The sequence below is a fragment of the Homo sapiens genome, chromosome 3 (assembly GCF_000001405.40).
Source record: "Homo sapiens chromosome 3, GRCh38.p14 Primary Assembly".
Lineage (NCBI taxonomy): Eukaryota > Metazoa > Chordata > Mammalia > Primates > Hominidae > Homo > Homo sapiens.
In genome coordinates, this window is record NC_000003.12 from 157,352,264 (window position 1) to 157,366,524 (window position 14,261).

A 14,261-nucleotide genomic window follows, 5' to 3' on the forward strand; every position below is an offset into this window, starting at 1 on the left:
AATAACTCAACTACTGGATTCATTTTCTTTCTCTATGTTTATTTTCCCCTCTACATTGAGTAAAAATTCTTTTTGCTTTATTATATATTTTTATAGGCTGCTTCACGTATTGTTTGAAATAGATAACTTTCTATTGAGTAAGGTGAACAAAACTGTTAGAATAGAAACAGTCAGGACAGACACAATGCATTAATTTGCTGATCATGGTTGGTTATGTGCTGTTTGATACATATTAATGAATAAATCCAAGCAAATAGTGAGACAAACCTCACAACTATGAACAATCTGGCTTATTTTCTCCCAACTGTAGTAAACTGATGAATGCAGATGTCTAGAGAAAGGACAGGAAATTAATATGAAAGAAAAGTTTTGTTTTTTACTTTACATTGGAGATACAAAATTAGTAATAAAGTTGTTTGAGGCTGATAGCAACAACAACAAAAAAACCTTGGCTGAATAACTAATGTTTTATACTTTGCCAGCTCTGCCATAAGACACTAGGGATTAATTGCATTTAGAGCATAAAGGACCTTAAAAGTTATCCAGCCCAGTGTTTTTCAAGTTTCTTTAAGCTGTGGAATTCTTGGTTTAAACATTCTTCAGGAAGGCTAGTGTGTGAAGCCAGCTACATCAGGGTTGTTCTGTTTGCAGGGCAGGTAAAGGGAGGAAAAAAGGGTCTCTGGAGCCTCTATAGGGAGCAGAGCTTGCAAACCCATGGCTCTGTAATATACTCTTGGGATAAGTGTGAGGAAGTGGTGACCAATGAGATGAAGTAACCTGTTCAAGGAATCAGAATTGCCCTGCAGCAGAGGTGGGACTGGAACCCAATTTAGATAGGACGCTGGGCATCTGGAGTTATTACCTAGTTCCAAGTTACCTGCATCTCTGTTACTGAAGCCAATTATTCTTATTAAAAATTTCCAAACCTTGCAGAAATATTTACATTAAAATGTTCAAATTTCCCCCTCCCTCTCGCTTTCTTCTCTGCCTGCACCCCCAATCTGATTATTTTTCTTTTTATTTTTTTGAGACAGGATCTGGTTCTGTTGCCCAGGCTGGAGTGCAGTGGCGCAATCTTGGCTCAACCTCCACCTCCTGGGCTCAAGTGATTCTCCTATCTCAGCCTCCTGAGAAGCTGCGACCAGAGGCATGCCACCATTCCTAGCTAATTTTTGGATATTTTAATAGAGGTGGGGTTTTGCCATTTTGCGCAGGCTCTTCTTGAAGTCCTGAGCTCAGGCGATCTGCCCACCTTGTCCTCCAAAGTGTTGGGATTACAGATGTGAGCCACTGCACTCAGCCCCAGTGTGATTCTTCAGAGAAAAACAGTGATAGCTGCTTGATGTGTATCCTTCTAGAAGTTTCCCCCCTCCCTCCAAATTTGTACATACATACACATATATGTAAATCCTTTTTTTTCCTGGGTTTTCTTGGCTGGCTCTATTTTTCTCTTTATCATAGCACTTAACGCTTTGTAACATCCTACATATTTTACTTATTTATCATTTCTATTATTTATCATACATCTTTTCCCACTAGAACAGCCTCCATGGAGGCAAGGATATTTGCCTATTTTGATCACTGGTGTTTCGCAAGTCCCTGGAGTGTGCTGGCATGTAGTAGGCACTCAAAAATTTTGTAGAATGAATGGATGAAGAATGAACAAGATGAAGAAGCAGAACAGGAAAGATTTTTAGGGCAGTGAAATTACTCTGTTTGAAACTACAATAACGGACGCAGGTCATTATACATTTGTCAAAACCCATAAAAGGTACAATACCAAAGTAAACCTCAGTGTAAACTATGGACTCTAGATGATAATGTATCACTATGAGTTCATCGATTGCACCAATGTGTCGCTGTGGTGAGGGATGCTGACAGTGGGGGAAGTTGTGTGTGTAGTGGGGCACAGGAGGTAAATGGGAATTCTCTATACTTTCCACTCAATTTTGCTGTGAACCTAAAACTTCTCTAAAAAGTAAAGTTTATTAATTAAAAAAAAAAGAATGAGTGGTCATCTCAAAATTCATGTGTCTAAAACCAAGCTCTTGATTTGTATCTCCCCACACATTCTTCCTCTAGTCTTATCTGTCTCATCCATCCATTGGGTGATTAGGCCCAACCCACCAGCACTGCTGACAGCTTTCCTTTGAAATATATCTGGAGTGAACACTTCTCACCACCTGTAGTCCAACCACCCTAATCTAGGGTGCCACACATAAAGTGTCCTTCTGCCTCATGGCTTTGTATTTACTGTTCCGTCCTTGCTGCTTCTCCTTATTCATGTCTCCATTGCAAAATCACTTCAGTAGAGAGACCTTCCCCTGTTACTCTACCTAAATAGTAATCCCATTCTTTATCCCCCCTCCAACTTGTTTTGTTTCACAGCATCTGTCACTATTTGGCATTATTCTTTCTATATATTTTTTGTTCTTGGTCCATATCATCCCACAGAATAAGTTCCAAGAAGGGAGAGATTTGCTTTTGTTTGCTGCTATATCTTCAGTGCCTAGCAAAACTTAGGGACTCAAATTTTTGTTGAATGAATGAATGAATCTGCTATTCACCTGTAGAATAGCATTTGCTTCCTAAGGAGTCTCTAGCCCCCTCTACAGACTAATCTCCACATTGCAGGTAGGGAGATATGTTTTCAATCTGACTTTTCTCTCAGGATAGAGCCCAGATCCCTGCCTACATTGAACTATCCTCCTCCTCACTTCACTTCACTGCTCCCCAGGGGGCCAACTTCCAGTCCCTGGAGTAGGCTGTGCTCCTTCTTTCCACAGGACAGACGGTTCTCTTCAGCTCCCACACCTCTACTTACTCTTCACATTTCTCAAGAGTTCCTTCTCCAGGGAAGCTACTTTGACCCCCAGATTAGGGCAGATTCCATGTGATAGGTTCTGACAGAACCGTGTTCCTTTTCTGCAGATAAATCATCTCACTTTGTAACTACGTATTATGTAAGTTCCAAGAAAGCAGAGTCCATGTCTATTCTGCACACAGTTGTATCCCCTGCCTACAGCAGCGTGCCTGGTACTGCCAGGTTCTCAAGAAGAGTTGGCTGATGAATGAATGAAGGCATAAATGAGCATGGCAATCTCTGCTGTTGCCAGGCAAGTCTCCAAAGCATATCCAGAGAATGAACCTTTCAGGCATCACTAACAAATCCCTCAAGTTTGAGAGACCAGGGAACTCTAGGGGTGGCTGGCTAAGTTTCTCCCTGCCTGGCCCAACACCAGGTGATTTGAGCACAAATACCAGCTAAGTAGATGACAACATTCTTGTGCGTTGAGGCTTAGAAATCTCACTGGGGAGACACAGTCACCTGTCATTGTCCCTAGCCATGTAAGGCATTACTTCCCAGATTAATATTTCTTCAAACATCTAAACTGAAGTGATCATCTGTAAAAAGTAGTTTTTACTTACATGTATAAACTACAGGGTTTTATATGAGAAACAGAATCACACTCTCAGAGTTTCTTTGACAGTTTTACATTTCCTGCATTTGTGGCTTATTTTAATGCCAGTGTAATATTTTAATGGCTGCGGGATAATTGATGTGGATATTTTCATCTGAAAAATGATGATTTTCTGTAAAGCAAATTACCTTTAAAAGTTTGCTGACTCTCTCACTCTTTTTTTTTTTTTTTTGAGACTGGGTCTCTCTTTGTCACCCAGGCTGAAGGGCAGTGGTGCAGTCACCGCTCACTGCAGCCTCGACCTCTTGGAGTCAAGCGATTCTCTCACCTCAGCCTCCCAAGCAGCTGGGACTACAAGTGCACATCATGGCTGGCTTATTTTTGCATATTTTTTGTAGAGAAGCAGTTTCACCATACTGCCCAGGCTGGCCGTGAACTCCTGGGCTCAAGCAACTCACCCACCTCGGCTTTCCAGTGTTGGGATTATGGGCATGAGCCACCACACCGGGCCAACTGAATCTTTTTATAAGAAAAACAAACAAACAACAACAACAAAAAAACAAAACCCTGTGTTTTATAATTTTTCACCAGTCCCTAATGTGAACAGGGTAAAAATGTAGACATAGGAATTAGCTGTCTTTTACTCAGCTCTTTTTGCCTCAATCCAAGTAGACTCTGTCAGCTTTGGACTCATCTGCTGTAAATATGCACCTCTCTGAAAATGAACTGTAACACAGATCATTTCCTACTAAATTATCAAATACCTGGACTCTCAATTGCTAACTATGTAATTGCCTATGATTTTGGAAAAATATTTAAAAATCCTCCGTCACCTGAAATTTGATGGTTGTTGTGGAGCAAATAGGAGGAAATAATCTACCCTCCTCCACCCCCACCTTTTCCTCTGTCTTATCAAAACCCTTCACCCAGCGATATAATCTCTTTTCAGTTTCCTGGCTACCAACTCTTCATCACCAACAGAGCTAAAAAATATGGATTTACTCTGTTTACTCTGTTTTTAAATGAGATTTGATGACATCCAGGGACCACTCTGTTTCCCTACAGGGCATATACTGCCAGTTTCATAATGAAAGTAAATGGAAGAATAACATTCACTTTACTGAAATTTGGTTTGTGGCAAACTGGATTGGAATGTACTCTTCTGCTGGGGACTGTCAGGGGCTCAGGACCATTTTATACTGCACTGCATCCCTTGGAGTAAAGACAGTCCCCAAACAACAATAATGGATGACTGATAATAATCTCTGAGTATAAGCTTCCCTCAAAAAAGATAAAAGTACTGACTGTGGATATAAGAGTATATTGCTATATACCCTTCTATCTTAATAATAATACATTTCAAAAATATATTTAAAAATATGAAATATGCCACAGAAAACAACTGCTTTTACACCACCCACATCTCCTCATTTTTCTTTTAATGTGGTGACTTTTAGGGTGAGATATATTGAAATATACTCCTGTGCATTTTCGCTCCATTTATGTATTTACTTTTGCCTCTATTTGTTAGCAAGGTCCCTTTAAATCTATTAGAGACACACCTAAGGTGGATACTATATTAGGGGAATTAGGCATTTCAAGGTTTGAGATGACAGATTTCATTTTCAGTCAGATAACTGCTCCTGGATCTCCATACAAAATGTCCTAAGAGTGTGCATGTGCTCAACCAATTTTATTTTGCACTGTTTTCTAGTCAGATGAATATTCATCTCATCTGTAGATAAATAACAGGTTAACTAGACATGCAGACAAACAACATACTCCTTTGTCCATCTGCATTGTAAGAAACTTTTTTTTTTTTTTTGAGATAGAGTCTTGCTCTGTTGCCCAGGCTGGAGTGCAGCAGTGTGATCTCGGCTCACTGCAACCTCTGCCTCCCAGGTTCAAGCGATTCTCCTGCCTCAGCCTCCTGAGTAGCTGGGACTGCAGGCGCGTGCTACCACGCCTGGCTAATTTTTGTATTTTTAGTAGAGATGGGGTTTTGCCATTTTGGCCAGGCTAGTCTCGAACTCCTGACCTCAGGTGATCCGCCTGCCTTGGCCTCCCAAAGTGTTGGGATTATGTAATAGGCATGAGCCACTGCATCCGGCCAGAACACTTTTCTTTAATTATTTATTTAAATGTGCAAAGGAAACCAAGCTTTTTCTTTATTTTAAAGAAGAGCTTTTAAAAATATAATTAATGAGAAATAAAGTTATGTTATGTCTTCTTTTGGAAGTTTGCAACATGTTAAGTCATGGATGCAAGTAGGTGACATCCTTCCCAGTGATTTGTTGTTACACGCCCGAGTCTTGCACCTACTCTTGGCTGAGGATGTACAAGGGCAGTGTTCTGATGTCAACTCATTAGAGCAGTTTGCAGAGAGTCTTTTCAAAAGGATTTGTAAATCTTCATTTCTTCTTGTTATTTGGATGTGTTTCACGGGCTGTTGCAGATGACTGGGATTGGGATATGTGTGGTAGGAGAAAGTAAAGATAGAAACCAGTCGCTGTTATGTCTGCCTTTGTCAACTAAAATTCACTTTTTGGAGAGGTGGGAGCAGGTAAGTAAGGTAATCCAAGAAAAGTCCCAAAGCACCAAGAAAAGTTTGCTAGAAAAGTATTCCCTAGTAAGTGCCCTTCTAACAGGGGCCCAAGAGACCACCTTAATGAATGAGGCTCCAGGAAATTTGGTAACATTTTCCTATTTGCTGTTTTTCTTTCTCAAATTGTGTGAAAAAGATTTAAAATTCTTCTCTGGCTCCAAATTTTACAACTTCAATTCATGGATAAATTATCCTAATCCCATGATTAAACTAATCCATTAAAAAATAAAAAAGAAACCTTCCCCAGAAGCATTAAGTGGATGGGCGTAATCAACATCCCCCAGATGGGACCAACTGGACCAGGAGGATGTGAGCACCCCACAGTCACACCAACACTGAGGTGGACTTGACTACATGCACATTTTCAGTAAGGAGGCTTTATTTGTCATTAACCATGAAAACAATGCCCACTAATTGATATTAATAATTAATCTCATTTTAAGAAAAAAATCAACTTATCACTTTGGGAGGCCGAGATGGGCGGATCACGAGGTCAGGAGATTGAGACCATCCTGGTCAACATGGTGAAACCCCGTCCCTACTAAAAATACAAAAATTAGCTGGCTCTAGTGGCGTGTGCCTGTAATCCCAGCTACTCGGGAGGCTGAGGCAGGAGAATCACTTCAACCAGTGAGTCAGAAGTTGCAGTGAGCCGAGATTGTGCCACAGCACTCCAGCCTGGTGACAGAGTGAGACTCCATCTCAAAAAAGAAAAGAAAAAAACAAAAAAGAAAAATCAACTTGTGTGGGTCTATAAAGAAAGGACTACATTACCAGCTTAAAAATTAGCTTTCTATAAGTCAGCCTTGCTGATACACTCTACAGATGGGATGTATTTTCACCCAATCAGGAAATACTTCAAAGTAACATTGATAGGTTCTTGTAAGCTTTTATATTATTCTTTATAGAACTTCAGTTATGGGCCAGATTTCCAAGGATTTATTACAATATCATGTGTGTGTTTTTTTGACCTCTAATCAGCTTTGTTCACATAAATGAATGCCAATGATTCGGATTTTTAAAATGCCCTTTGGCACATGAATTCAGTTCCTCCAGTCTTGTAAATAAATACAATCAGCCAGTGATATTAGACCATTGCTCTGCTTATGAATACATAACTTTAAGTGGTTGGTAAACCTGCACAAATACTAGAGACCTACAAGGCTCAGAAGTGAATTACTGACCTAGGAATAACAGGCTGTTTCATATCCAAAATGACACTGCCGACCCAAACTTAATAAGACCTGGGGTTTGACATTTTTTTCCAGACACAGTGATAGATTCTTACTGATCTATTTATACTCTATTGCCTGTTCCCAGTGTGATCAATATTATGCAACAATAGATGGCTGACTGGAGTTATGAATGCTATTTGTGACCCTGATTCAACTCATACCGAATTCTGCTATACAGTGACCAGTGAGGTTCCTATTCATTTAACATAGTTTATACTGAAGTATTATGTGGAACCATATGAAATTGATATTTTTATATGTCAAAACAGTCTAATGTCAGTTTTTTCATATGGACCAACCTAACATCAAAAGAATTTCTTTCAAAGGTTGTTTTGTCGTGTTCCTAGCGTATGGACTTTGTAACAGCAGTCCAAAATTTTTCTTAACACTTTGTTGTTATTTCCTGCTGGCTATATGTCCCTTTAACTTTAAATGTTTCAGAAGTGGTTTTTATGCTTCTTCTCTTTGCTTCTTGACTACTATGCATAATTCATCAAGAAAGATCAAATATGTTGCATTTATATAAAAAACACATCAAACATAACACAATTAAGCCTAAATCTTTTTTAAATAAGATTTTAAGGAAAGAAAGGTAATATTGTTGAGCAATCTTAGGATAACAAGCAAAATTGTGTCAGCCAGATGACTGCTGGTGTGTCACTGAATAATTTACAGTACTTCTGAAGTAATAACAATGTGTCCCCTGCAATCAGCCTGAGCTCTTTCTCAGCGGATGTATTACCAGTGAATCATACAAATTTTTGATCCTTCACACATATCTCTGTGCAAGGAATTGCCCAGGAAATTCCGAGAGTATGAATGAATTCCAAAATGTCAACTAAAAAAATACATACTCAGTCCTAGGTTATCTAGGTCATCCCTGGCAGGAAACATCAGTATCAAAAGAAAGTATTCTTTTTTTTTAAGTACAGATGATGAATTTATTCAACATTTTTGGGAAAAAAAAGCAAAGTTAACTAGTTAATTGTCAAACTACGGATGCTTTTTGACTTATGATGGGGTTATGTCCCCATAACCCCATTGTAAGTTGAAAATCTTACATCAAAAATGCATTTAATACACTTAACCTACCGAACATCATAGCCTAGCCTAGCCTACCTTAAATGTGCTCAGAATACATACATTTGTCTACAGTTGGGCAAAACAATCTAACACAAAGCCTATATAATAAAGCTAGTTGTTATGAAGAATTTTGAATCAAAATTCAAAGTATGGTTTCTACTGAATGTATATGGCTTTTGCACGATTGTACAGTCAAAAAATCATAAGCCAAACCACCATAAATCAGGGACCATCTGTAATTTTAACTCCTAAAATAGCTCAAGGCAATAAGAAATATCATTTGTTTTTGACAAGTAGAAGTTTGAGGTAAATCTGCAGGATTTTCTCACACATTTCCACAAGACTAAAACTCATTGCATAGTAAACCTTTAATGCTTTAGATCAACTTTGAAAAATCCCACTATTTTACCTTTATCTTTGCTATTGACTCCCTGTGTCAAACTGGGGAATTCACTTAATCTCTCTTATATTAAATTCTCCAACTTGTGCAATAGATACACAGATTATTAGCAAAGTAGGCAATTGTAAAGTGTTGATTTTGATGGAATTTTATTGATTTTAGCTATTTCCAAGCCCTGGTATACTTATCTAATACTTATATTTGAATATAAGCAATCTTTTATTGTCACCATTAAAATGGCTTTAAAAGTCTTAGGAAGGCTAATAAAGTTAGTGCAAACACTTTTGAAAGTGTCAGATTATAACAGACATGCTAAATAATATTATAATGTTATCACTAAACATTTGAATCCCCCTTTCCCTTTGTTAGCATGAGAACACACTCTTTCCTCTGATTTGAAGTGGGAAAAGGGCTAGAAAGTAGAATATGGAAAAAAGGGCTCTTCTAGTACCTAAACCTGATAGCCAGTGGGCAGATGAATATGAATTGGATTTGCTATTCTTCAACTATTTTTCTTTCTGGAGGCTGAGCTGTCTGGCTTTTTCTATGAGGGCTGTAGCCTACAAGATGGCAGATCATGCCAGAGTGCTAGAACCATCACATAGATCTCAAGGGAAGAACATGGTTGCTGCCTAAGAATTGTTATTGTAAAGATTATGAGCCTGAGAGTGCCTTAAAGCTATCCAGACTTGTTCAACCCACTACTAGAAAAGTGAGTCTGCCCTAGCACTATGGCATTTTAGGACCCGTGTCTCAAACACATTTCCTTTCCTAGGTCCAGGAAGGACTACGGCACAAAATGTAAAGGAGTGTCAGAAATATATAGTAATCAAGATATATAATTTTTTTAGAATTAAAATTAATGCAAATAATGTATGATGAACAAAATATCAAAATTGTAATTAGGGACAGGATTGATATTACTAATTATTCCTTTTGCCTTACGTTCCACTATGACTCAGTAAGACACTGTTACTGATCTTGCTGTCACTTAAAATTTTACTGAGTTTTTTAATTTTTTTATTTTTTTTTTGGGTGGGGGGACAGAGTCCCACTCAATTGCCCAGGCTGGAGTGCAGTGGTGCGATATCGGCTCACTGCAACCTCCACCTCTCGGGCTCAAGCCATTCTCCTGCCTCAGCCTCCCGAGTAGCTAGGATTATAAGCGTCAGCCACCATGGCCTGCTAATTTCTGTATTTGCAGTAGAGACGGGGTTTCACCATGTTGGCCAGGCTGCTCTTGAACTCCTGACCTCAGGCGATCCACCTGCCTCAGCCTCCCAAAGTGCTTGGATTACAGGCATGAGCCACTGCGCCCAGCCTTTACTGAGTTTTATTGGTGCCACCCTAATTTGTGTGCCTGAGGAAGGTCCTGGCCCCTGACATCCTGTTTAAAATTTTTTATTTTTTTACTTTGCCCTTCGTTTTCTGACTAGCTCAACCTCTCACTGGCTTCTTTCTTTTAAGCCACCTCCTGACTATGGTTGTGCCCTTTTCTTTGTGTATGGATGGTCCTGACATAAGATGGTTGAATTTACCATTTTTTGACTTTACAATGGTGTGAAAGTGATACTCATTCAGTAGAAACCATACTTTGAGTTCCTATACAACCATTCTATTTTTCACTTTCAGTACAGCATTCAATAAATTACATGAGATATTCAACAGTTTATTATAAAATATGCTTTGCGTTAGGTAATTTTGCCTAATGTAGGCTAGTGTCCTAAGTGTTCTGGGCATGTTTAACGTAAGCTAGGCTAAGCTGTAATGTTTGGTAAACTAGGTGCATTTTCAACTTATAATGGGTTTTTGGGGACATAGTCTCATCCTAAGTTGAGCATCATCATCTATACTCTAAACTCTAAGAGGTCAGGAATTGTATCTGTTTGGTTTATAGCTGAATCTTGAGTACTTTTAACACAGTGCCTGGAACACAGTAGCTGAATGGAAGCTGATATTCAATGTTATGCATGACTTTCTTGCATGATTATGTGGTTGGGAAATGTCTCTGGCAGAACCCCTACCCCAGAGCCGGCTTCAGGGTCACAGACCTCTTTCCAGGATTTTTGTGAATTCTGGGGACAGGGAACCAGAAATAATATATCTTGAGGTTTGCAAAAATCAAAGAGTCAGTGGACTTATGTGCACCCAAGTAGATTCAAATGGGAATCAAGATGATCAACCTTTTCTTGGGAAAAAAAAAAAAAAAACTAACATAATGTAAGGTATTTAAAAAAAATGATCTATTTTGCAAAAGATCCAGAAAAGAGTATGCTAATTTACCTGATTTGAGCTTTTTGTTTATTTGCAGTGACTCCTGAAGTTTCTCAGGTTTGGGAAGTACACAACACTTACCTTCAATGGTACACTGATCAGGGACTGGAATCTTCTTTCCAATTTCCATGGCATATGCTTTCACTTTGCTGAGGTTTTTTTTTAAGTGCAAGTAGAGCTTATCTTGGTATTCTATAGGACTTGCAGTTGTCTCTGGAGTTTCTTCCTGGGAGTTTTCTTTAACAGTTTCTGACAAATTCTCTGAGTCTATATGTATAATATTTGGGTATGAAACTGAAGACTCCCCCAGCTGTGATCTCTCAGTGTCTGTCTTAAACGGCAGCTTGTCATTTCCTTGGCCAAGTGGGTCTATTTCTGAAAGAGAGATGCTGGCTGGTATGTCTCCCCTGTTTTCATCTTCGCCGTCATCTGAACCCACACCCTTTGTGAGCATAGTGTGGAAAGCCAAACTTTTTGACCTAGAGTTCAAACAAAGGGAAAGTTAAAGAAGTTGTGTTACCATTCACTGACAAGGAAAAGAAATAATAATAATATTGGGACAAAAAGTTACTTCCTCTGGAGTGTGAAACTATTAACAGGCCTGATAAATGTATACCACCAATAAATGATGTAATAAACCAAACCTTTGAAAATCTAAGTCACCTCCAAAAACAAAGTTTAAAAATCAATTTCATGGCAAAACTGGCTGCAAAATAGTAGACTTACATATTTTTCATCTTTGTCTACTTTTGCTTTTGATTTTTCATCAGAAATCAAGAGACAGTATTTTCCATATGGCATATAAGCAATAGATTTGTTTTCCATTCATAGTACCCATTTAAAATAGTGAGTTTCTTTGGATAATGAGAGCATTGTGGATGATATTTCATTCATGTAAGGATGGCACTTTGGGTGGCAATGGGTAAAAGATATATAAAAAACACCCCATAACAGAGTGATAACAAAGCTAATAGCGAACATGAAGTGTATGATTTAAAAAACAAACCAAACGAGTTATACCTGTTAAATCTAATGTTTTTTCTTTCTTCTTTAGAAACTTGGCCCAGACTATATCTTCTGATAGAGCCAGGGGTATTGCTCCCTGCATTTATCTTGTCTTCAAAAGCCTGGATTTTAACTTGGAGTTTTTCATGGTCTTCATTTTCAGTTACTATGAGCTTGGTTTCTTCCAGTTTCTCAGGGAATTCAATTTCAGTGCTGATTTTTCTCCTAAAGGAATATAAATCATTGCATTAGATGCAGGTCATATATACTCTTCAGAACAGTGTTATTCTCTATTTAACTGCCTCTCACTCAGAAGCAAAAGCTTTGCCTGATAATTTTTTTCATTGGTCATTTAACAAGTATTTACTGCAGGCATAGGTCTTTGAAATTGCTTCTACAGCTTGTTCTGCCAGAAATTTAGAAACAGTGGTGTTTATGTGAACTTTGTATTAAAAATGCTTTTTAAGAGTTCAAAGAATAAAAAGCAGTTTTTATGCTCATGTACCATATTCTTTTTTAGAAATTCTTCAAATGTATGTCTTTCACATGAAATGTGTGCCAGATATTTTCTAAAAAATTTACATGTGCTGATATGTTTGTACTGAAATTACAGAATAAGAACATTTCACATGCACTGTATAAACTCATGGTTTTGTTAATTTTTAAAAAATCAGTATAACTCTTATACCTTCCAAGGAGAAATATCTTTCTGAATTTTAAGATGTTGGAAGAAAGAGGTTTTCTGTGAACGATATTAATATAGACCCAAATATCTTTTATAGTAGAGTTTATAAACCACTTTGTGGGTCATTAAAATTACTTCCTTTAAAGCAGGGGCCATGTGTGGTATAATTTTGGATTTCCTCTGAGGGCTAACAGTGCCTTAGCTAGAATAAGCACCTACAAATAAGCTGCAGAAATAGCTTTCTGATGTTCACTGAGGTGCTGAGTAATTATAGGAAAGTAGCATGCATTTATCTTCCCTTATTTATCTTCTAATACTGAGCTGGCCTACAGCTACTTTAATTTTTATTCAACAACCACTATCCATTTTTATAACGTATGGTGTTAGTATTAATTCTTTTCTTAAAAAACAAGGATAAAAGGAATTATTTTTACTTACCACACTTTTGACACCCAATATGTGGGTTTTTTTCTCATACCAACTAATTCTCCAACCCTCTAGACACCAACTGGGTGTCCTACAGTTCAATTCAATCCTAACACTAACGACCTGGAATTAGCCCCAGACTCCACAGATGGCCCCCAGTTCAGATGCCAGTGAGAAGTATGGGGTCCCCAGCTTACACTTCTGTTCAACTTGGCTACAAAGGTTCCTGCACCACCCCACCCCCATGGTTCAATAATTCACTGGAATGACTCATAGGACTCAGGAAAACACTTTAACTTATTATTATTGGGTTTATTATAAAGGATACAACTCAGAAACACCCCAGTAGAAGAGATGCATAGGGCAAGGTATGGGAGAAGGGGCACAGAGCTTCTGTGCCCTTTCTGGGTACGCTGTACTCCCAGCAACTCAATGTGTTCACCAATCTGGAAGTTCTTGGAATTTTAGGGGTTATTATGACGGTTTCATTATTCAGGCATGATTGATTAAATGATTACCATTGGCGGTTAACTCGATCTTCAGCCCCTCTCCCCTCCCCAGAGACTGGGGTTGGGTGAGTTATAGGGTAAGATAGAGAATGGGGCTGAAAGTTCCAACAGTGTAATCATGCCTTGGTCCTTCCTGTGACCAGACCCAATCCTCAAGAAATCTAGGGGTCCCTGCCAACAGTCATCTCATTAGCATATAAAAGACACCCATCAATCTGAGATTCTGAGGGTTTAGGAGCTGTATGCCATGAACTCGGGACAGAGACAAAGTATTTATTTTTTATTACAGTATATAATAATCCCTAGAAATATATTCACCAAGATGGTCTAATGATTTTGTTGGTTTGTCTGTGTGCATTTACTTGGCTGTCTTTAGTATTTTTCCAAGACATTGAGGAAAGGGCCCAGACTTAGAGAAAAATCTTGGCTTTTTCAAACATTATTTTTCCCTAAGGGCCAAAGTGAACCTGGCATAATACCTGAATGAGAGTGAGAGGAAAAACATCCTTAAAAAAACAAGAAAGAAAAAGAAAGAAAGAAAGCACTGCCAGGCACGGTGGCTTATGCTTGTAATCCCAACACTTTGGGAGGCCGAGGTGGGTGGATCATTTGAGGTC

At 38.5% G+C, this 14,261-nt stretch overlaps 1 protein-coding gene and 1 long non-coding RNA gene across 17 annotated transcripts in view; one reads left to right on the plus strand and one right to left on the minus strand.

The window, feature by feature from the left end:
- The window catches only part of LOC101928236 (uncharacterized), a 220,247-nt gene that overhangs the window by 178,564 nt on the left and 27,422 nt on the right, over window positions 1–14,261 (plus strand). The gene's annotated exons all lie outside the window — the stretch shown is intronic.
- Window positions 1–14,261, minus strand: part of VEPH1 (ventricular zone expressed PH domain containing 1) — a 243,864-nt gene that overhangs the window by 92,522 nt on the left and 137,081 nt on the right. For all 16 annotated transcript variants that reach the window (XM_047448927.1, XM_047448922.1, XM_024453748.2 and 13 more), the window contains 2 exons: window positions 12,040–12,249; window positions 11,101–11,498 (listed from right to left, as the gene is read on the minus strand). In XM_047448927.1, coding sequence (XP_047304883.1) covers window positions 11,101–11,498; window positions 12,040–12,249 — 608 coding nt within the window. The remainder of the gene's footprint in view (window positions 1–11,100; window positions 11,499–12,039; window positions 12,250–14,261) is intronic.